Raw genomic sequence first — 26,111 nt, 5'->3', positions numbered from 1 at the left:
GAGGCATAAGAATTGCCTGAACCCAGGGGCAGAAGTTGCAGTGACCCAAGATCATGCCATTGCACCCCGGCCTGTGCAATAGAGTGAGACTCCATCTCAAAAATAAATAAATTAATAAAATCAAAGGCCACTGGACAGAAAGGAAACGTCAGGTCATCCACAAAAGAAAGCCTATCAAACCAACTGATTTAAAGCAGACCTCTCAGCAGAAACCCTACAAGCCAGAAGAGATTGGGAGTCAATATTCAACATTCTTAAGTTCCAACCTAGAATTTCATATCTAGCCAAACTAAGCTTCATAAGTGAAAGGGAAATAAGACTCTTTTCAGACAAGCAAATGCTGAGTGAATGCATTACCACCAGATCTGCCTTACAAGTGCTCCTGAAAGCAGCACTAAATATGGGGGAAAAGAAGACTGTCAGCAACCACTACAAAAACACACTGAAGTACATAGACCAGTGACAGTATAAAGTAGCCACATAAACAAGTCTGCCTAATAACCAGCTAACACTGTGATGATAGGATACTGTTAGCATTCAATATTAACCTTGAATGTAAACAGGCTAAATGCCCCCAATTAAAAGGCACAGAGTGGCAATGTGGATAAAGAACCAAGACCCATAGGTATGCTGTCTTCAAGAGACCCATCTCACATGCAGTGACACACATAGGCTCAAAATAAAGCAATGGGGAAAAATCTGCCAAGCAAACAGAAAACAGAAAAAAGCAAAGATGGCAATCCTAATTTTAGACAAACAGTCTTCAGACCAACAAAGATAAAAGACAAAGAAGGGCATTACATAATGGTAAAAGGTTCAATTCAACAAGAAGACCTAACTATCCTAAATATATATGCAGCCAACACAGGAGCACTCAGATTCATAAAGCAAGTTTTTGGAAACCTTCAAAGAGACTCAGACTTCTACACAATAATAGTGGGAGACTTCAACACCTCACTGAGAGTATTAAGCAGGTCACCAAGGGAGAAAATTAACAAAGATATTCAGGATCTGAACTCATCAATGGATCAAATGGACCTGATAGACATCTGCAGAACTCTCCACCTAAAAGCAACAGAATATACATTCTTCGCATTGTCACATGGAACTTACTCTAAAAATCAATCACTTTATCAAGCATAAAACACTCTTCAGCAAATGCAAAAAAACTGAAATCATAAAAAATCACTTTTTTGGACCACAGCACAATCACATTAGAAATGAAGACTAACATTTGCCCAAAATCATACAGTTGCATGGAAATTGAATAAAATTCTCCTAAATGATATTTAGGTAAATAATGAAATTAAGGCAGAAATCAAGAGAAGTTCTCTGAACGTAATGAGAACAAAGATACAGCATACCACACTCTCTGCGACAGAGCTAAGGCAATGTTAAAAGGGAAATTTATAGCACTAAATTCTCACACCAGAAAGGTAGAAAGATCTCAATTTAACAACCTAACATCACAACTAAAAGAACTAGAGAACCAAGAGCAAACCAACTCCAAAGCCAGCAGAAGACAAGAAATAACCTAAATTGGAGTTGAACTGAAGGAGACTGAGACACAAAAACCCATTCAAAAGAAAAACAAATCCAAGCATTGTTTATTTGAAAAAATTAATAGTTTGCTAGCTAGATTAATAAATAAGAGAAAGAAGATCCAAGTAAACACAATTAGAATCAACAAAGGGGATATTAGCACTGACCCCACAGAAATACAAATAATCATTAGAATATTATAAACACCTCTATGCACATGAACTAGAAAATCTAGCAAAAAAGGGATAAATTCCTGGACACATACATTCTCCCAAGACTGAGCCAGGAAGAAATGGAATCTTTGAACAGACCAATAACAAGCTCTGAAATTGAATCAGTAACAAATATCCTACCAACCAACAACCAAAAAAAAAAAAAAAAAAAAAAACCAAAAAAAAAAAACCCAGTGCTCAATGGATTCACAGCCAAATTCTACCAGATGTACAATGTACTGGTACCATTCCTACTGAAACTCTTCCTCCAAAATTGAAGAGGGAGTCCTCCCTTACTCATTCTATGAGGCCAGCATCATCCTGATACCAAAACCTGGCAAAAATACCAAAAACAAAAAACAAAAAACAAAAAAAAAAAACAACTTCAGGCCAATATCCTTGATGATCATCAACACAAAAATCCTCAGCAAAATACTGGCAAATCAAATCCAGCATCATATCAAAAAGCTTACCTACCATGATCAAGTAGGCTTTATCCCTGAGGTGCAAGATTGGTTCAATGTATGTAAATCAATACACGAGTCATCACATAAACAGAACTAAAGATGAAAGCCACACAATCATCTCAATAGATGTGGAAAAGGCTTTCAATAAAATTCAACAGCCCTTCACGTTAAAAGCTCTCAATAAACTAGGTAGTGAAGGAAGATACCTCAAAATAAGAGCCATCTATGACAAACCCACAGCCAACATCATACTGAATGGACAAAAATTGGAAGCATTCCTCTTGAAAACTGGCACAAGACAAGGATGCCCTCTCTCACCACTCCTTTTCAACATAGTATTGGAAGTCCTAGCCAGAGTAGTGCAAATACCTTGCAGTCCTTGCTGCAAGAGAAAGAAATGAATGGCATCCAAATAGGAAGACAGGACATCAAACTATCTCTGCAAATGACATAATTCTATATCTAGAAAATGCCATAGTCTTAGCCCAAAAGCTCCTTAAGGTGATAAACAACTTTAGCAAAGTTTCAGGATACAAAATCAATGCACGAATATCACTTATAAGTGGGAGCTAAATGACGAGAACACAGGGACACATAGAGGGAAAAAACAGACACTGCAGCCTACCTGAGGGTGGAGGGTAGGAGGAAGGAGAGGAATGTTTTCATAAACTAACAACAGCCAAGCTGAGAGCCAAATCAGGAATGCAAATCCCATTCACAATTTCCACAAAAAGAATAAAATATCTAGGAATGCAGCTAACCAGGGAGGTGAATGATCTCTACAAGGAGAACTACAAAACACTGGTCAAAGAAATCAATGATGACACAAACAAATGGAAAACTATTCCATGTTCATGGATAGGAAGAATCAATATCATTAAAACAGTCATATTTCCCAAAGCAATATACACATTCAATGCTATTCCTATTAAAATACGAGTGCCATTCTTCACAGAACTAGAAAATAACTATTTTAAAATTCATGTGGAAACAAAAATGAGCCCTAATACCACAGGCAATCCTAAGCAAAAATAACAAAGCTGGAGGCATCATGTTACCCAACTTCAAAGTATACTACAGGGCTACAGTAACCAAAACAGCATAATACTTGTACAGAAGAAGGCATATAGACCATTGGAACAAAATAGAGAGCCTAGAAATAAGGCCACCCACCTACAACCATCTGCTCTTTGACAAAATCTACAAAACAAGCCATGGGAAAAGGATGCCCTATTCAATAAATGGTGCTGGGATAAATGGCTAGCCATATGCAGAAGACTGAAACTAGACCTCTTCCTTACACTGTATATGAAAATTAATTCCAGATAGATTAAAGACATACACGTAAAGCCCCAAACTATGAAAACTCTGGAAGACAACCTAGGTCATACAATCCTGAACATGGGAATGGGCAAACATTTCATGGCAAAGACACCAAAAGCAATTGCAACAAAAGCAAAAGTTGACAAAGTTGATTGAAATAAACTTAAGAGTTTCTGCACAGCAAAATAAACTATCAACATAGTAAGCAGATAACCTACAGAATGGGAGAAAATATTTGCAAACTATGCATCTGACAAAGGTCTAATACCCAGCATCTATAGGGAACTTAAACACATTTATAAGATAAAAGCAACCCCATTAAAAAGTGGGCAAAGAATATGAACAGACACTTTTCTAAATAAGACATACCTATGGCCAACAAGCATATGCAAAAAAGCTCAACATCACTGATCATTAGAGAAATGCAAATCAAAACCACAATGAGATACCATCTAAAACCAGTCAGAATAGGTATTATCAACATGTCAAGAAATAAGATAATTGTGAGGTTGTGGAGGAAAAGGCATGCTCATACACTGTTGGTGTGGGTATAAATCAGTTAAACAGTGTGGCAATTCCTCAAAGATCTAAATGCAAAACTACCATTTGATCCAGCAATTCCATTACTGGGTATATATTCCAAAAGATACAATTTGTTCTGCCATAAAGACACACACACAAATATATTTATTGCAGCACTATTCACAATAGCAAAGACATGGAATCAACCTAAATACCCATTAGTGGTAAAATGGATAAACAAAATGTGGTAAATATATACCATGGAATACTATGTGGCCATAGAAAAGAATGAGATTATGTCTTTTGCAGGTACGTGGATGGAGCTGGAGGCCAACATCCTTAACAAACTAATGCAGGAACAGAAAATCAAATACTGCATGTTCTCACTTATAAGTGGGAGCTAAATGATGAGAACACATGGACACATAGAGGGGAAGAAGAGACCCTGGGGGCTACCTAGGATGGAGGCTGGAAGGAGGGAAAGGATCAGAAAAAATAACTAGTGGGTACTAGGCTTAATACCTGGGTGACAAAATAATCTGTATAACGTACCTTCATGACACAAGTTTGCCTATATAACAAACCTGTACATATACTACTGAACTTAAAAAAAATCATGCCTTTAAAAATTACAATTAGGAGATATAATTTAACAGTTGACTACACTAGTAAGAGGAACTTGAGAACACCTGGGTTTTCCAGAGATTCTCCCTAACAAAACATAAAAGTCAAGTCTACACAAGCCTAATGTGGTCAATTGATAAACTTATCTACATGCACGCTAAAAGAAAAAAAACAACAATCCAGAGTTTCTACAATGTTTCATCAACAATGTGCAGTACACATGGAAAAAAATAGAGACATATTCTGAGGAATAAACAAATTCATACGAAGTGCATTTTCTAGTTTCTCACTCATTAACCATTGCCAACCAACACAGAAGAGTTCTGTGACCAAATATGTGGGAATTTCTTCCGATACACCAAGCAAGCAATCAACTCTGCAGCAGACACCAGCTTGATATTCTCAATTCAATTAAAAAATGGTCTACCTGGAGATAGCATCAGGTCTTATTGGTTGAGGACTCAGTTCCACAAGACCACCCCTTCTAGATGTCAGTCACAAGCCCAGGTATCTGGAACTCTGGAACTCCTGACCAACTAGCTTCAAGATGGGATCCCTAGAACCCTTTCTGGGCTTAATTTTCTAGAGTGGCTCACGAAACTCTGGAACTCTTACAATTACCAGTTAATCATAAAGAATGTTACAAAGGATATGGATGAAAATGCATAGGGCAAGGTATTGAATGAGGAGTGTAGAGCTTCCATGGCTTTTCTGGGCACACCACCTCCAGAAATCTCCATGTGCTCAGCTATCTTGATGAAGGCAATTAACTTAACCTTCATTCCCTCTCCTCTGCCTAGAGGTCAGGGATGGGGCTGAAAATCTCAATGTTCTAACCATGCCTTGGCTTTGTGATGATGAGACTGCATTCTGAAGCCAGCCCAGAGCAGCCAGCCATCACTCAATTATTAACACACAAAAGACATCACTTTGAAGATCCTAAGGATTTTAGGAATTGTATGCTTATAAAGAGGATTGAAGACCAAATATGTATTTCACAATATTACACATACAAAAACCAAAATTTTGCTATATATAGTTAAAGAAGAAGTCTGGGCATGGTGTCTCACACGTGTAAGAAAATGAAAAAAAAAAAAAAACAGTCCATAGAAACCAACCCTAAAATGGCCAAGATGGTGAATTTGGCAAAGACTTTAGGATGAGTATTATAAAAATGCTCAAAGAACGAAAGAAAAATGTGCTCAAAATTTTTTAAAAATAGAATGAATAAACACATAGGAAATATGAGCTTAAAAATGAAAATTATAAAAATGAACTAGGAGAATTTTACTTCTGTCTATGGATGATTAAAGGCAACAGTAATTTCCCTTCCTCAATAACTAGAAAACCCCACAAAATACATAAAACAATTGATCTTAGATATTATAAAATAGCAAATGACTATTACTGTTATAGGTAGTGAGACAGGCATTAGCAGGGCAGAAGGAGGCTCTTCCCCCATCCACTAGAAATGTTGGGTGATGGTTCAGCAATTATCACATTGCCTCCCTAAAAGTAATAAATTGGCAGCTGGTTTCAGGGAGAGGCCATTTCCTGATGGTCCACACCTGTTGCACTAAAGTGTTAATTGAATGCAGATGCCAAAGAGAAGCAACTTCCCAGGCATGTGCATTAAGAGACAAAATGGCGGAGTATGACCTTCCAGAGGCATATGACCGGAAAAAGGAAGAAAGCCTCAGATAGACATGTGCACAACTTCCTAAACACACTGTGCATGCTCACCTGCCAAGGGTAAGGAGGACACTGTGCATGCAGGCAGTCCAGCCTAAGGGAAGAAACATGGGAAAGGGGCCAGCTTATAAAGTCCTAGGATCATGATTAAACATCACGCCTGTCCTTCAAGTCACCTGCTTGGGTCTCTTCCAAGCACACTTTACTTTCTTTCCTATTCTAAAATCCAGAATCTACAATGAACTCAAACAAATTTACAAGAAAAAAACAAACAACCCCATCAAAAAGTGGGCAAAGGATATGAACAGACACTTCTCAAAAGAAGATATTTATGCAGCCAAAAGACACATGAAAAAATGCTCATCATCACTGGCCATCAGAGAAATACAAATCAAAACCACAATGAGATACCATCTCACACCAGTTAGAATGGCAATCATTAAAAAGTCAGGAAACAACAGTTGCTGGAGAGAATGTGGAGAAATAGGAATACTTTTACACTGTTGGTGAGAGTGTAAACTAGTTCAACCATTGTGGAAGTCAGTGTGGCGATTCCTCAAGGATCTAGAACTAGAAATACCATTTGACCCAGCTATCCTATTACTGGGTATATACCCAAAGGACTATAAATCATGCTGCTATAAAGACACATGCACACGTATGTTTATTGCGGCACTATTCACAATAGCAAAAGACTTGGAAACAACCCAAATGTCAAACAATCATAGACTGGATTAAGAAAATGTGGCACATATACACCATGGAATACTGTGCAGCCATAAAAAATGATGAGTTCATGTCCTTTGTAGGGACATGGATGAAATTGGAAATCATCATTCTTAGTAAACTATCGCAAGGACAAAAAACCAAACACCGCATGTTCTCACTTATAGATGGGAATTGAAAAATGAGAACACATGGACACAGGAAGGGGAACATCACACTCTGGGGACTGTTGTGGGGTGGGGGGAGGTGGGAGGGATAGCATTAGGAGATATACCTAATGCTAAATGACGAGTTAATGGGTGCAGCACACCAGCATGGCACATGTATACATATGTAACTAACCTGCACATTGTGCACATGTACCCTAAAACTTAAAGTATAATAATAATAAAAAAAAAACTTCCACTCCTGCTCTGAAACTTGTCTTAGCCTCTTTTTCTGCCTTATGCCCCTCAGTCAAATTCTTTCTTCTGAGGAAGCAAGAATTGAGGTTGCTGCAGACCCAACAATTTGCCACCAATAACTCAGTTACTTCTTACCAGTAATATTATTCCTTAGCAAAGACAAACAAAGTAAGCCAGATAACTGTCAGAGCTTACAGCTTGGAGTCATTTCTATGAGACACCACAGAAAGGGGCAACCCTATCAGAGTCTGTTAGTTTTACTGAGTTACAGAGACAAAAATAAGAGTCCAGGGAGATAAAGATAGAATTTGTGGGTGAGAGTATTGGAGAAAACAGAGTTGGAGAGAGAGAGAGAAAGCATACGTGCGAGAGAGAGCACACACAACATGAATACATGATCACACTGAAATTCATATACAAATGGTCATAAATCTTTAATAATATATCCAAACTGGAAATAATCTAGATATCCATGAGCAGAGGAATAAACAAACTGTGATAAATTTCAAAGAAATACTACTCAGTAATAAAACATTAAACTATGATATATGCAAATGAACAAATTTCAAAAACATGCTAGGTAAAAGAAGCTAGATACAAAACAGCATATGTTTTATGATTCCAGTTATATGAAGATTTAGAACTGGCAATACTAAGATTGGTGGTTCCTTGATGATGGGGCAGGATGGTAGGTAGATTGACTGAAAAGGGAATCAGGAACTTCCCAGAGGTAATGGAAATATTCTGTCTTGATTGGAATGATAGTCATATGAGTAAATAACATTTTTAAAAACTATGCACATAATGCAATTACCTCAATAAAGTTTATTTAAAATAAACTTTAGTTTTTCTTATTTTACTAGACAGTGGTAAAAACCAGTATAAGTGTGTGATTTGCAATATAATAAGAAATATATATTCCATTTCTTCAGAAATGAAAGAGATAGATACTTTCTCAGAAAGCAATAGCTGAGGGATTTCATCACCACCAGACCTGTCCTACATGAAATTCTAAAGGTAGTCGTTCAAGCTGAAAGGAAAGGATACTAATTAGTCATACAAAAACAGCTGAAAGTATAAAACTCACTAGTAAAAATATACAAATTCAGAACACACTAATATAGTGATGGTGGTGTATAAATCTTTAGTATGAAGATTAAATGACAAAGCTAAAAATAACAGCTACAATAATTTTTAAGAAATAAACAATATGAAAAGATGTACATTGTGACATCAAACAAAAACCACAAGTGGGTAGAAAGAAAGTGTAGAATTTTTGTATGTGATCAAAGTTGTTATCAGCTTAAAGTAGCCTATTACAACTATAGATGTTTTATGTAATCTATGGTAATCACAAAGCAAAAACGGATAGATACCCAAAAGATAAAAGGTAAGGAATCAAATCATACCATTAGAGAAAATCTTCTAATCACAAAGGAGGACGGCAAAACAGGAATAAAGGATCTAAAAAACAGAAAATAATTAACAAAATGACAGTAGTCAGTGTTTTCCTATGAATTTGGTGTAAATAGATTAAATTATCCAATCAGAAGAACATAAATAAAACATATGTTCATAGCTTTGAATAAATAATATTGTTAAAATATCCATACTACCCAAAGTGATCTACAGATCCAATGTAATTTCTAACAATATCCCAGTGACATTTTTTCACAAGTATAGTAAACTAAGTATCAAGGCATTGGAATAAAAACAGATACATAGACTAACAGAATACAATAGACAACAGAGAAATCCACACATTTAAAGTCAATAAATTTTCAAAGACACCAAGAACATACAATGTGAACAGAATAGTCTCTCTGACAAATAGTGCTGGGAAAACAAATATCCACACACAAAGCCGCTTTAGCCAGACTGCCTCTCTAGATGTCTCCTCTCTTGGCAGGGCATCTCTGAAAAAAAGGCAGCAGCCCCAGTCAGGGGCTTATAGATAAACCCCCATCTCCCTGGGACAGAACACCTGGGGGAAGGAGCAGTTATGGGCTCAGCCTCAGCTGACTGAAACGTCCCTGCCTGGTGGCTCTGAAGAGAGCAGCGGATCTCCCAGCAGTGTTTGAGCTCTGCTAAGGGTCAGACTGCCTCCTCAAGTGGGTCCCTGACCCCCATGTCTCCTCACTAGGAGACACCTCCCAGCAGGGGCCAACAGATACCTCATACAGGAGAGCTCCAGCTGGCATCTGGCAGGTGCCCCTCTGGGATGAAGCTTCCAGAAGAAGGAACAGGCAGCAATCTTTGCTGTTCTGCAGCCTCTGCTGGAGATACACAGGCAAACAGGGTCTGGAGTGGCACTCCAGCAAACTCCAGCAGACATGCAGCAGAGGGGCCTGATTGTTAGAAGGAAAACTAACAAACAGAAAGGAATAGCATCAACATCAACAAAAAGGACATCCAGACACAGAAGCCCCATCCGAAGGTCACCAACATCAAAGAACAAAAGTAGATAAATCCACAAAGATGGGGAGAAACCAGCGCAAAAAGGCTGAAAATTCCAAAAACCAGAACGCCTCTTCTCCTCCAAATGATCACAACTCCTCACCAGCAAGAAAACAAAACTAGATGGAGAATGAGTTTGAGAAACTGACAGAAGTAGGCTTCAGAAGGTGGGTAATAACAAACACCTCTGAGATAAAGGAGCATGTTCTAACCCAATACAAGGAAGCTAAGAACCTTGTAAAAAGGTTAGATAAATGGCTAACTAGAATAACCAGTTTAGAAAAAACAAATGACCTGATGGAGCTGAAAAACACAGCACGAGAACTTTGTGAAGCATACACAAGTATCAATAGCTGAATCGATCAAGCGGAAGAAAGGATATCAGAGATCAAAGATCAACTTAATGAAATAAAGCGTGAACACAAGATTAGAGAAAAAAAGGATGTAAAGGAACAAACAAAGCCTCCAAGAAATATGGGACTATGTGAAAAAACCAAACCTACGTTTGAGTGGTGTACCTGAAGGTGATAGGGAGAATGCAACCAAGTTGGAAAACACTCTTCAGGATATTATCCAGGAGAACCTCCACAACATAGCAAGACAGGCCAACGTTCAAATTCAGGAAATAGAGAATGCCACAAAGATACTCTTCCAGAAGAGTAACTCCAAGATACATAATCGTCAGATTCACCAAGGCTGAAATGAAGGAAAAAAATGTTAAGGGCAGCCAGAGAGAAAGGACAGGTTATGCAAAAGGGGAAGCCCATTAGACTAACAGTGGATCTCCTGGCTGAAACCCTACAAGCCAGAAAAGAGTGGGGGGCAATATTCAACATTCTTAAAGAAAAGAATTTTCAACTGAGAATTTCATATCCAGCCAAACTAAGCTTCAAAAGCAAAAGAGAAATAAGATCCTTCACAGACAAGCAAATGCTGAGAGATTTTGTCACTACCAGGCCTGCCTTATAAGACCTCCTGAAGGAAGCACTAAATATGGAAAGGAACAACTGGTACCAGCCACTGCAAAAACATACCAAATTGTAAAGACCATCAACGCTATGAAGAAATTGCATCAACTAACAGGCAAAATAACCAGCTAACATCATAATGACAGGATCAAATTCCCACATGACAATATTAACCTTAAATGTAAATGAGCTAAATGCCCCAATAAAAAGATACAGACTGGCAAATTAGATAAAGAGTCAAGACCCATCGAAGTGCTGTATTCAGGAGACCCGGTCATGTGCAAAGACACACATAGGCTCAAAATAAAGGGATGGAGGAATATTTACCAAGCAAATGGAAAGCAAAAAAAAAAAGAAAAAGAAAAGCAGGGGTTGCAATTCTAGTCTCTGATAAAACAGACTTTAGGCTGGGTGTGGTGGCTCACGCCTGTAATCCCAGCACTTTGGGAGGCTGAGGCAGGCAGATCATGAGGTCAGGAGATTAAGACCATCCTGGCTAACATGGTGAAACCCCGTCTCTACTAAAAATACACACAAAAAAATTAACTGGGCGTGGTGGCAGGTACCTGTAGTCCCAGCTACTCAGGAAGCTGAGGCAGGAGAATGGCATGAACCCAGGAGGCATAGCTTGCAGTGAGCCTAGATCGTGCCACTGCACTCCAGCCTGGGCAACAGAGCGACACTCTGCCTCAAAAATAAAAAAAAAAGACTTCAAACCAACAAAGATCAAAAGAGACAAAGAAGGGCATTACATAATGGTAAAAGGATCAATGCAACAAGAAGAGCTAACTATCCTAAATATATATGCACTCAATACAGGAGCACTCAGATTCATAAAGCAAGTTCTTAGAGACCTACAAAGAGACTTAGACTCCCACACAATAATAGGAGTTAACACTTCACTGTCAACATTGGAGCGATCAATGAGACAGAAAATTAACAAGGATATTCAGGACTTGAACTCCACTCTGTTCTAAGCAGACCTAATAGACATCTACAGAACTCTCCAACTCAATTAAACAGAATATACATTCTTCTCAGCACCACATCGCATTTATTCTAAAATTGACCACATAATTGGAAGTAAAACACTCCTCAGCAAACGCAAAAGAATGGAAATCATAACACTCCCTCAGACCACAGTGCAATCAAATTAGAACTCAGGATTAAGAAACTCACTAAAAACTGCACAGCTACATGGAAACTGAATGACCTGTCCCTGAATGACTACTGGGTAAATAACAAAACTAAGATAGAAATAAGTAAGTTCTTTGAAACCAATGAGAACAAAGACACAACATACCAGAACCTTTGGGACACAGCTAAAGTAGTGTTTAGAGGGAATTTTATAGCACTAAATGCCCAAAAGAGAAAGCAGGAAAGATCTAAAATCCACACCCTAACATCACAATTAAAAGAACTAGAGAAGCAAAAGCAAACAAATTCAAAAGCTAGCAGAAGACAAGAAATAAGATCAGAGAAGAACTGAAGGAGATACAGACATGAAAAACCCTTCAAAAGAAAAAAATCAATGAATACAGGAGCTGGTTTTTTGAAAAGATCAACAAAATAGATAGACCACTAGCCAGACTAATAAAGAAGAAAAGAGAGAAGAATCAAATAGATGCAATAAAAAGTGATAAAGGGGATACTACCACTGATCTCACAAAAATACAAACTATCGTCAGAGAATACTATAAATACCTCTACGCAAATAAACTACAAAATCTAGAAGAAATGGTAAATTCCTGGACATATACACCTTCCCAAGTCTAAACCAGAAAGAAGTCGAATCCCTGAATAGACCAATTACAAGTTCTGAAATTGAGGCAGCAATTAATAGGCTACCAACCAAAGAAAGTTGAGGACCAGACGGATTCACAGCCAAATTCTACCATAGGTACAAAGAGGGGATGGTACCATTTCTTCTGAAATTTTTCCAAACAATAGAAAAAGAGGGACTCCTCCTTATCTCATTTTATGAGGCCAACATCATCCTGATATCAAAACTTGGCAGAGACAGAACAAAAAGATAAAATTTCAGGCCAATATCCCTGATGAACATTGATGCAAAAGTATTCAATAAAATACTGGCAAACCGAATCCAGCAGCACATCAAAAAGCTTGTCTACCACGATCAAGTTGGCTTCATCCCTGGGATGCAAGGCTGGTTCAACATACACAAATCAATAAATGTAATCCATCACACAAACAGAACCAATGACAAAAATGACATGATGATCTCAATAGATGCAGAATAGGCCTTCAGCAAAATTCAACACCCCTTTATGCTAAAAACTCTCAAACTAGGTATTGATGGAACATATCTCAAAATAATAAGAGCTATTTATGACAAACCCACAGCCAATATCATACAGAAAGGAGAAAACCTGGAAGCATTCACTTTGAAAACCAGCACAAGGATGCCCTCTGTTACCACTCCAATTCAATATGGAATTGGAAGTTCTGGCCAGGGCAATCAGGCAAGAGAAAGAAATAAAGGGTATTCAAACAGGAAGAGAGGAAGTCAAATTGTCTCTGTTTGTAGATGACATGACTGTATATGTAGAAAACTCCATCGTCTCATCCCAAAAACTGCTTAAGCTAATAAGAAAAGTCTCAGGATACAAAATTATGTGCAAAAATCACAAGCATTCCTATACACCAATAATAAACAGAGAGCCAAATCATGAGTGAACTCCCATTCACAATTGCTATATAGAGAATTAAGTATCTAGGAATACAACTTAAAAGGGATGTGAAGGACCTCTTCAAGGAGAACTACAAACCACTGCTCAAGGAAATGAGAGGACATAAACAAATGGAAAAGCATTCCATGCTCATGGATAGGAAGAATCAATATTGTGAAAATGGCCATACTGCTCAAAGTAATTTATAGATTCAATGCTATCCCCATCAAGCTATGGTTGACTTTCTTCACAGAATTAGAAAAAAAACACTTTAAATTTCGTATGGAACCAAAAAAGAGCCTGCATAGCCAAGACAATCCTAAGCAAAAAGAAAAAAGCTGGAGGCATCATGCTACCTGAATTCAAACTATACTACAAGGCTACCATAACCAAAACAGCATGGTACTGGTCCCAAAACAGATATATAGACCAATGGAACAGAACAGAGGTCTCAGAAATAACACCACAAATCTACAACCATCTGATCTTTGACAAACCCGACAAAAAACAAGCAATGGGGAAAGGATTCCCTATTTAATAAATGGTGTTGGGAAAGAAAACTGGCTAGCCATAAGCCAAAAACTGAAATTAGACCCCTTCCTTATACCTTATACAAAAATTAACTCAAAATGGATCAAAGACTTAAATGTAAGACCTAAAACCATAAAAACCCTAGAAGAAAACCTAGGCAATACCATTCAGTACATAGGCATGGGCAAAGACTTCATGACTAAATCACCAAAAGCAATGGCAACAAAAGCCAAAATTGAAAAATGGGATCTAATTAAACTAAAGAGCGTCTACACAGCAAAACAAACTATCATCAGAGTGAACAGGCAAACTACAGAATGGGAGAAAAAAATTTTGCAACCTGTCCATCTGACAAACGGCTAATATCCAGAACCTACAAAGAATTTAAACAAATTTACAAGGAAAAAACAACCCCATCAAAAGGTGGCAAAGGATATGAACAGACACTTCTCAAAAGAAGACATTTATGCAGCCAACAAACATATGAAAAAAAGATCATCATCACTGGCCATTAAAAAAATGCAAATCAAAACCACAACGAGACACCATCTCATGCAATTAGAATGGCAATCATTAAAAAGTCAGGAAACAACAGATGCTGGAGAGGATGTGGAGAAATTGGAATGCTTTTACACTGTTGGTGGGAGTGTAAAGTAATTCAACCATTGTGGAAGACAGTGTGGTGATTCCTCAAGGATCTAGAACCAGAAATACCATTTGACCCAGCAATCCCATTACTGGGTATATACCCAAGGGATTATAAATCATTCTACTATAAAGACACATGCACACATATGTTTACTGCAGCACTGTTCACGATAGCAAAGACTTGGAACCAACCCAAATGCCCATCAATGATAGACTGGATAAAGAAAATGTGGCACATATACACCATGGGATACAATGCAACCATAAAAAAGGATGAGTTCACGTCCTTTGCAGGGATATGGATGAAGCTGGAAACCATCATTCTCATCAAACTAACACAAGAAAAGAAAACCAAACACCGCATATTCTCACTCATTAGTGGGAGTTGAACAATAAGAACACATGGACACAGGGAGGGAACCATCACACACCAGGGCCTTTCATAGGGTTGGGGGCTAGGGGAGGGATAGCATTAGGAGAAATATGTAAACTATGTGACAGGTTGATGGGTGCAGCAAACCACCATGACACGTGTATACCTATGTAACAAACGTGCACGTTCTGCACATGTACCACCAAACTTAAAGTATAATAAAAAAAAGATGGGCAAGAGATTTCAGTGGACAGTTCACCAAAGAAGATGTAATCATGGCAACGTGGCCTTCAAACAATGCTCAGCATTGTTACTAGGGAAATGTAGATAAGAACCACAGCAAGATATCACAGCACCCACTAGCATGGCCACAAAAAATAATAAACATAAAACAGACAGTAACAGTGTTGGTGAGGATGTGAAGAAATTAGAACCCTCACAAGCTGACGGTGGAGATAGAAAATGGTGCAGTCACTTGAGAAACACCTCAGCAATTTCTCTAACATGTTGAATAGAACTTATCACATGGCCTAGCAATTCCAAAGACCCCTAGGCATGGAACTCAGACAGACCAAGAGGAATGAAGACATATGTCCATACGGTGACGTATGCATAATGTTCACAGTAGCCCAAATTGCAAAGTACACAACTGTCCATAAACAGATAACTGGATAAACAAATGGAGGTATATCTGTACAGTAGAATGCTACTCAGGAATAAAAAGGAACAAACTAATGATACTCACAACATGGATAAGTCTCCAAACAATTCTACTGAGTGAAAGAAACACAAGATAGAATATACACTGTGTGATTCTGTTTACAGAACATTCTAGAAAAAGCAAACTAGTCAGTAGTGACAGAAAGCAGACCAGAGTGGGCCTGAGGATGGGGGAGCATGGTTGGAGGGACAGGTTACAAAGGGCAGGAGCCTTGGGGGAGTGGCAGATGTGTTTATTATCTTGATTGTGATGGTGGTTTTACAAGTGTGTATGTACGTAAAAACTATCAAATCATTTACTTTATATATGTAAGGATTATTGTATAGCAAATACACCTCAATACAGCTGTTCAAAGATGAAAAAAAACATAATAAAAATGGGTAAAGGAACTGAATAGACATTTTTCGAAAGACAACATACAAATGGTCAATAGGTATATAAAAATGCTTAACATCATTAATCAAGAAAATGCAAACTAAAACTACGATTAGATATTACCTCACACCCATTAGAATAGTTTTTATCAAATAGACAAAAGATAAGTAAGAGTGAGGATATGGAGAAAAGGGAATGCTTGCACACTGTTGGTGGGAATGTAAATTAGTATAGCCATTATGGAAAAAGAGTATGGGGGTTCTGCACAAAATTAAAAATAGAACTACCAAATGTTTCTGCATCCCATTACTGGGTGTATAACCAAAAGAAACAAAATCAGTATGTCAAAGAAATGTCTGCACTCCCATATTCATTTCACCATTATTCATAATAGCTAAGATATGAAATCAAACTGTGTCCATGAATGGTTAAGTGGATAAAGAAAATGTGGTATATATACAAATGGAATACTACTCAGCCTTTAAAAAGAAGGAAATGCTGCCATTTGGAATGATATGCATGAACCTGGAGAACATTATGTTAAGTGAAACTAGCCAGAAACAGAATGACAAATACCACATGATCTCACATTTATGTGGAATCTAAAAAAGTTGAATTGATAAAAAACAGTAAAATGATGGTTACCAGAGACTGGTAGGAGTGTGAGGTTAAAGAGATAGATGTTGGTCAAAGGATACGAAACTTCAGTTAAACAGATGGAATGAGTTTAAGAGATCTATTGTACAAAGTGGTGACTACAGTTGATAACAATGTATTGTACTTTGAAAATCACTGAGTAAATTTTTAAGTGTTCTCATCACAAAAATGATATGTGATTTGATATATGTTAATTAGCTCAACTAAGCCATTCTACAATGTGTATGTATACATATTTCAAAATGTCATGTTGTACACAATAAATATATTCAAGTTTTGTTTGTCAACTAAAAAAAAAAAAAACCTGGCATCTTCATGTGGAACCAGCTGGACATTTGGCCTTCTCCTTGTTTGACACACCCTCACCCCGACTCCAGGTCTTCACACTTCTTTGGTTTTAATTTCCCCTTCTTTAGCCCCTCTAAATTATGATTAAAAAAATAGGACAGGAATGAGGGTGAGTATGTGATAAAGGAAGCAGATGACACTGAATTATCAGTGGACATCAGAACAAAGTTTTATGTACCTAGCAAATAGGGTGTGCCTTTTAAAGTGATGAGCAAGGTGACATCATCGTTGTGATCTCCATCACAGAAACACACCCATGTTCATCACCCTTCTGTCACTTAACTTCACAGTAAATAATGTAAGCTTGACTTAGGAACTCAAGTTTAAAAAAAGTCTAAGCCCTTTTCCTAAAATTATGCATTTTAATTATCCTCATGTTTATTTCAAGAATTCTTTGAAAAAAATATGAACTCTTGGCTGACTGGCAAAGAAATTTATTGGCTTGTCCACAAAGTACAAAAAGTTTAAGAACCATCTTATCCTCAATATCCTGTATCCAGTTTAATGAGGAATTCCAGATGTACAAAATTAGTTCTTTAGAACTAACTGTACAGGGCAGAAAACTTAAGACAGAAAAAAGAATAGAGTTTGATTTGGTGGGAAAAGACAAGAGAAATGTGATATGTTCCATTCTCTACTTCCCCAACATAGAGATGGCTGCCAACAAAGGGCAACAATTTAGTGCAAATGCAGGCTTCTTACAGCTTTGGGGAGCCTACAACTGGAAATAATAGCTCCTTTTTCATTGTTTTCATGGAACTTTGTACTTCCGTAGAGTTCTTATGTTCTACTTTATTCTTATTTCTTCTACTAGACTACATGCAGTTTAGAGATCAAGGATAATATTATCTCTGTAATCCTTGTAGCCAACACAGTGCTTTGTACACAGAAGACAGTAAATAAGCATTCATTGAATACAATTCATTTATATAACCCTTTCTCAAGAAGCCCCCAAATCAAATGTTCCCATGGTTCTTTTCAAAAGGTTGAGTGATGTTTAAGTTCTTCAAAGTAAATAAAATGTCAATAGCTTTATTGTAAAAAAACAAGTATTTTCAGCATCTTGTCTGGATATCATAAAACACCAAACAACATACAGAACATAAATGTTATTTATAAACTACACGAAGGGCTTAAGACTCTTGGCCTAAGAACATAGTCCACGTAGGTCATCCTAAAACATCAATCACCAGTAGTCTCCTAAAGGTACTCTTCTGAAATCTGTGCTCATAACTTTTTATCTTAAAAGGCTTTCACATAAGCTACGATAAGAACATAGATGATTATGATTAAACATAAAACTTAACTGGCAGCAGATTTAAAATGCAGCTATTAGAAATTAAATTAGATATGTTTTGACTCTTTGGAGACATATTCCAGGGCACTGGAATGACTTGCTTAGGTATATAAGGGCATATATTCTCTTGATAAGATGGAACAGTCCTTACTACTTTACCCAATGTTGGGAGAACATTTAAATGACAATTTGAGGTTCCTAGCTTCGAAGGGGTCAGGAGAAACTAAGTTGTAAAACAAAACAGTGTCGTCTTAAATTAAATTGAGTATTGGGTAGGAGATTGATTTTCTATTTCCATTCTCATCGTACCAATTTTTAGCCCTTTCTTTTCATTGATCAATGAAGAATTCAAATAGTTTTGGTAAATGTAAACTTCTAGGAAAACAAGAGATATTACATATTAGTTAAACAAATTTTGGGAGAACAGGGGAGGGAGGCAATGTGAGGAGGCAGTGGTGGTAATCTGTTTTCAGAAATCAGTAACACGGTTCTGCCCATAATGGCCCTTATAAACTCAAAGTAGAGAATGAGAAGACATTTTTGTTGTGAATAACTTGTACAAGGATAAAAACTAAAAGGAAAAAACAAAAACAAAAACAAAAACAGGCACATCTCTAGGAGAGGCAGCACAAAGAAAAGCCTCCTCAGAATCTGTCAAAAATGGTGTTATTTACCATTTATTTCAGTTTGCAGATGCCCATAGTAAACATTTCTGAACCCTGAAATATCAAACTTTTCAGGGTAAGAAGGAGTGTTCTAAAGTCTATAGGGACAGGCAGAAACATTTCAGGTAAGGTCAAGTCAGTGTGCATAGTAATATAATTAGTGGGAAGGGAATCCAACTACAGTACCCATTATCAGTCAGAGGCCAGGACAGGGCGCTCGCCACCATGTTTCCTGATGTCTGAACCCAACATAGGACAGTGGTCACAAAAGCTAACAAAATGCCAGAATCTCTCAGAGATAGTGCTAGAAACAAAACAGAAAATATAATCCTATTCTGCTTTTAAAGATATGGCATATCTTTAGCTTGGAACTTACATGCAACTGTGGTTATTCTGCTACAGAAAACCATAAAAAGGTGCTAGTAGATTTATAGAGGGCCAACCAGAAAGATGAAAAAGAATAAAAGCAACGCTTCCTGCTACATAAAAACAGATTAAAAATTCAGGACTCTTTAATGGATTGGGTATGGGCTCATGGCACAAAATAATCAAGAAGGAAACACACATGAAAGGAAAAAGGACAAAAACTCCAACTAACAGAACACCTGGTCTGTGCCTTGTAAAATGCTTAAAAATAGAACTACTTTATAAACAGTAGTAGGTTTACAGAACTTATTTTTTCCTTAATTAACGATGAAAAAAATTTAATATGAAAGTTTTAGATATACATATATATGCTGACATTGACATGGGATATTAAGGGAATCAATGTATTTTGGCTCTTCAACTAATTTTCTGAGATGAAAAGCAAGGACAACAACCAAGCCCTCCCACAATAATCCTTTAGTGTCTCTGCCAGAGACAGAACCCAGACCAAGATGGAAATGATTCATTTAGTTAATCCAAACCTTGGAAACACATAAAGGAACATTTAAAGATTATACCTCTTCTTTGGTCAATTGTCTGTAAAAATTTTAAAGATTACTAATAAAAACTGAGGTATTTGTGATATAATTTATTTCTCCCTATATAGTTCTTCTATGAAAAGATATAGCAAGAAAAACTCTCCCTATTGAGACACCTTTCTACTATCAAACAAATGGAATAAAAACGTTTCCTGCCTGCTTGAGAAAGTCCAGAAAATGCACCCTGCTGTTTCACGGTTAATTAATTATGCAATGATTCATCAAGTTCTTATTTAGTCAACAGAATTATAAAAAGAAATCATAATGAAATCAACACTGAGAATAAGTTATACCAAGGGGCAGGATTTAGAAAGTTATATTCTTCCTTCCTGGCCCCTAAGACTAGCATTCTGGATGTTAGACAGGAATTACTCACCAGTGAGAATGATGAAGAATTTTCAAGATGTGTTGATGGAACATTGGAAGGTGAACTCAGTTTACCTCTGCCTTCTGGCATTCTTCTGTGTCTGATTACGGTTTTTATGACAGAGAAGCTTATTTTAAAATCATAAGACAGTTTTAGAAATGCAATGGCAGTGAAAATGCATGAAGTCATTCTCAGATTACTCTGTGAAGTAGACAACAGTAATAATCTTAATTATGTCCTGGCCGAGGCACACATTTTAAGCAACTCCCCTAAAGCAATATATCAGATAATTCCAGAGCCAGGCTTAAAACCTGGTCCTGTAACTACTACCACTGCAAAACATACACATATAAGAACATTGGCTATAGATGGGTATAACAGAAAAAGAACTACAAAGGCATGAGGCTAACGAGTTAGCCTGGAATTGGCAGTGGCAAGTTATGATTTGAAAGGGAGCTCTTTGTTGCTAGTTTTAAAATGTGCACATATGCTTACCTCTCCTCCTCCTTCCTGAAGCAATAAGGGAACACAAAAATGAATAAACTCAGAAGTGTGGATGTACGTGGGGAGATCAGAGTCTTTCACACGTTTCTCAAAGTCTGAAAGTACATGGAAGTATGTTGATGAAAAAGTAATACCATGGGGGAACCTAAGTGGAAGTAAAAGCCAGCCTTCCCAGTAGAAGCCCAGAATGACCTAAGGTTAGAGTAGCCAATAACGTGAGAGTGGCTCCTGGAGGCTATCCCATCACATTCACATGTCCAGCCCACACCCAGTGGGAAGTGACTATATGCAGTAGATTAGGGGGTGGAAACCCTGGGGGACTGAAAACCATTAAGGTCATTGAAAACAAGGAAAGACTGAGAAACTGTCATAGACCAGAGGAAAATCAGGAAATACGGTGGCTAAGTGAATTGTAGTATCCTGGATTGGAACCTGGAAGAGAACAGAAGGGGTACATAGCAGAAAAACCTGGTGAAATACAATAAAGTCTGCAGTTGACAGTAATGTACCAATGTTGGTTTTTAGTTTTGACAAAGGTATCATGGTTATATAATATGTTAATAGGGAAAACTGTACTATCTTTGCAGTGTTTCTGTAAATCTAACATTATTTCAAAATTTAAAAAAGGGATTTAAAAATATAGGCAATGGAAATTAACAAACGAATATAGAGAATAACTTGTATTTACATGTAACAGAGAGAGAAGGAAAACTGCTTATTAAGTTGACAAAGCAAGAAGACATAAAAGATTGTTAATTTACAAATATAACCAAGCAAACATAATTTAACCATTAGTTTTTTGAGGAAGGTGAAGAAAGATAAGCTGGGGTGCAGGGTAAGTGAACAGAACAAGTTTATTATTTTAAAGCTTTTTAAGATAGACAGATACTATTTACAGAAGTGAGCTACCAGAAGTAAAAACTTTTCAAAGTGATTGATTCTTCTTATATATTGCTGCTAGGCATATAAAGTGATATGATGACTTCAGAAATCTGTTTAGTAGTCTCTATTAGAGCTCTTAATATTTACAACCTATGACACAGTAATTGCACTCTTATAAACCTAAAAGAAATGTGTGCACATGTTCACCAAAATGAAATCTGTTAGATTGACTGTAGCAGCACCATTCACACAGCCCAAAGCTGAAACCATTACACAAATGTCTATGAATAGCAGAGTAGCTAAAAATTTTTTTCAAGTTCCAAAGCAGCAAAGCTTATCTATAGTATTAGAAGTCAAGGAACACCTTTACACTGTTGGTGGGACTGTAAACTAGTTCAACCATTGTGGAAGACAGTGTGGCGATTCCTCAAGGATCTAGAACTAGAAATACCATTTGACCTAGCCATCCCATTACTGGGTATATACCCAAAGGATTATAAATCATGCTGCTATAAAGACAGATGCACATGTATGTTTACTGTGGCACTATTCACAATAGCAAAGACTTGGAAACAACCCAAATGTCCAACAATCATAGACTGGATTAAGAAAATGAGGCACATATACACCATGGAGTACTATGCAGCCATAAAAAGGGATGAGTTCATGTCCTTTGTAGGGACATGGATGAGGCTGGAAACCATCATTCTTAGCAAACTATCACAAGGACAGAAAACCAAACACCGCATGTTCTCACTCACAGGTGGGAATTGAACAATGGGAACACTTGGACACAGGATGGGGAACATCACACACCGGGGCCTGTTTTTGGGTGGGGTGAGGGGAGAGGGATAGCATTAGGAGATATACATAATGTAAACGATGAGTTAATGGGTGCAGCACACCAACATGGCACAGGTATACATATGTAACAAACCTGCACGTTGTACACATGTACCCTAAAACAAAGTATAATATTAAAAAAACAAAAGTCAAGATAGAATTTACCTCTGAGGGGAGATACAACTAGGAAAGAACACAAGTGGGGAGCTTTGGAGAACTGATCATACTGTACTTCTTAATGTGTTACCGGAATTTGGTCACTGTGTGAATCCATTGAAATGTTCAGGTATGGATTGTGTAATTTTCTGGATATATGCTAAAGAAAGTTTTGTGTTTTAAGAAGTCGGCATGTGAGAATGAGGATGGGAAGGAGTAGGGCAGGCATGATTTGCTTTTTATTATAGACCTGTTATACTATGTTAAAAAAAACACATGCATATATTTGAGTTTTAAACTGAAGCCAGAAATTAGAGTTTATTCTTGTATCTCCAGCATAAAATATTGTGCCTATCAGACAGTAGGCACTGAATATACATGGAATCAATGAGTGAATGCGTGAAAAAATGGCAATCGGAGTGTTATCAGAGACTGCAAATAAAGAACTGAGAAGAGAATGAAAAGGTTTCAACAGAACCAAAAACTATATGTATTTATGATTCACTTAGAAAATAAACACTCATATGTATTTGACTTAAAGACCTGAGGGAAAACGTAGGCATGGTAGTAAAGCATAAGGTTAACGGAATGAATGATTCTAACGTACCCTGATTTAATAGATCAAATGGGCTTAAACCTTATCATGTGATATTTTGGGTTTAAAAATTCCTACGATTTATGTGTGGTCAAACATTGGAACAAATTCTCAAAGGCAGTTCCACTCTGGGGATCTTTAAAAGAATAGAAATTCCTTTTTGTCATCAGTGGTTTAAAAGTGGCTCTACTTTCTTGGATAAATAGATCACTGACACTCTATTCTGTTTTTGTGTAAGACTGTTCCTCAAATTTCTACTATTTGGTTTAAAAATCTAGAAAAATACTTTTGCAGGAATTTTGCTGAATACCACACTTGCTGTTCCTAAAAGTGATTTGCCAGCCATCTAGATTGAAAGTCCTGTCTTCATTTTCCAGGTTTCTGTTAGATAACACCTCGCTCTGACAACTGTAAATGACATCTATGTTCTGGTTTGTTGTACATTCACAATCTTCGGTAGAAACACAGCTTTGTCCTTCCTGCACATGTGCCATATACAACTTTTCTAGGTATTTGTTCACTGTCTCTTAATTATCTTATTGATAAACACAATTTATTTTAGTAAGAGTCCCAAGAAGGAAGCCAGGGTGCCAGGGTTAGCGCTGGCTTGGCACCTGTATGTGAAAGATTGGACAAGGTACTTTAGATCTCTAAGCCTTTGTCCAGAAGTAACCTGAGAATATTGACTCAATAACCTCCCTTTCTTAAATTCCATAGAATATATTTTCATCATGAATGGTGAAACATGATTTTCTTTGGAATGTGTGTGTGGATATCATAATAACATTAGCTTAAACCCTACCACTCATGTAAAACATTCTTATAAAATGTTATGAAATAATTTGTATTCTATTTTGGAGTCTTCATATTCTGGAGGGGAATGTATACTGCCTTTATCCCTTCAAGTCATCTAGCTACTTCTGGACTTTTTTTTTCCTATACTAAGATCTGTGGTCCCACAATACATCTTTTTAGAAGGGAAGCAAAAAAATATATACCATGAAGCTGAGAATCATCTTCACTTTAAGATCTGATTTCCTTTGAACACTTTAGCAGAATAAATTTGGCCTAAATTTTTAAAAAATTATTTTTTCATTCTTCCAAGCAACCTAAGTTTTAAAAATCATGTCAATGAATCATCTTTTTGTTTAATAATTTTTATTCTTCCAAACTATCTATCTTAAGTTTTAAAAATGTCAACTAATCATATTTTTGTCTCCAGAAAGATACTGACAAGTTTATACTCACAAATTTTAGAATGTCAGATATTTTAAATTCCAGAATGGCAAAGCCTATTAATTTTAACTACTAGAAAGGTATGTATGTGTATTTATTTTCAATCTAGCTTTTTTTATTTGATTTTTTAAATTTTAAGTTCTGGGGTACAGGTACAGGATGTACAGGTTTGTTGCATAGGTAAATATGTGCCATGGTGGTCTGCTGTACCCATCGACCCATCACCTAGGTATTAAGCCCAGCATGCATTAGCTATTCTTCCTCCTTCCACTCCCCTGACAGGCCCCAGTATGTGTTGTTCCCCTCCCTGTGTCCCTGTGTTCTCATCATTCAGCTCTCACTTGTAAGTGAGAACATGTGGTGTTTGGTTTTCTATTCCTGCATTAGTTTGCTGAGGATAATGGCTTCTGGCTCCATCCATGTCCTTGCAAAGACATGATTTCATTCCTTTTTATGGCTGCATAGTATTACATGGTGTATACGTACAACATTTTCTTTATTTAGTCTATAATTGATGGGCATTTGGGTTGATTCCATATCTTTGGTATTATATTTTTGCTGCAGTGAACATACATGTGCATGTATCTTTATAACAGAATGATTTATATTCCTTTGGGTATATATTCAGTAGTGGGATTGCTGGGTCAAGTGGTATTTCTGGTTCTAGATCTTTGAGGGATCACCACACTGTCTTCCACAATGGGTGAACTAATTTACATTCCCACCAACAGTGTAAAAGTGTTTCTATTTTCTGCAACCTTGCCAGCATCTGTTGTTTGACTTTTTAATAATCACCATTCTGACTGGCATGAGATGGTATCTCACTGTGGTTTTGATTTGCATTTCTCTAACGATCAATTGATATTGAGCTTTTTTATATATGTAATTGTCGTAGCTGTATAAATATCTTCCTTTGAGAAGTGTCTGTTCATGTCCTTTGCCCACTTTTTAATGGAATTGTTTTTTACTTGTAAATTTGTTTCAGTACCTTATAGATACTGGATACTAGCCCTTTGTCAGATGGATAGAGTGCAAAAATTTTGTCCCATTCTGTAGGCTGTCTGTTCACTCTGATGGTACAAATGATACTTTTGCTGTGCTGACATTCTTTAGTTTAATTAGATCACCTTTGCCAATCTTCGCTTTTATTGCAATTGCTTTTGGCATTTGTCATGAAATCTTTGCCTGTACCTATGTCCTATATGGTATTTGCTAGATTTTCTTCTAGGATTATAGTTTTGGGTTTTACATCTAAGTATTTAATATATCTTGAGGTATATGGTGTAAGAAAACGGTCCAGTTTCAATCTTCTGCATATGGC

General features: G+C 37.0%; 1 long non-coding RNA gene across 3 annotated transcripts in view; it reads right to left on the bottom strand.

Annotated features, from left to right (window-relative positions):
* Nucleotides 1–22,381, bottom strand: part of LOC102723654 (uncharacterized) — a 253,720-nt gene extending 231,339 nt beyond the window's left edge. Inside the window, exons 1-2 of one of the 3 annotated variants that reach the window (XR_001742463.2) lie at nt 20,584–22,381; nt 8,922–8,976 (exon numbers count right to left, since the gene is read on the bottom strand). This is a non-coding gene — a long non-coding RNA (uncharacterized LOC102723654). Of the gene's footprint in view, nt 1–8,921; nt 8,977–9,686; nt 9,701–20,583 lie in introns of those variants that run through there. The other 2 variants (XR_001742465.2, XR_427770.4) reach the window with 2 other exon arrangements.
* Nucleotides 22,382–26,111: the final 3,730 nt, after the last annotated feature.

This window comes from Homo sapiens, chromosome 5 (assembly GCF_000001405.40).
Source record: "Homo sapiens chromosome 5, GRCh38.p14 Primary Assembly".
Classification (NCBI taxonomy): Eukaryota; Metazoa; Chordata; class Mammalia; order Primates; family Hominidae; genus Homo; species Homo sapiens.
Note: the sequence above shows the minus strand (reverse complement) of the source record. Positions and strands in the feature narration are given on the sequence as shown.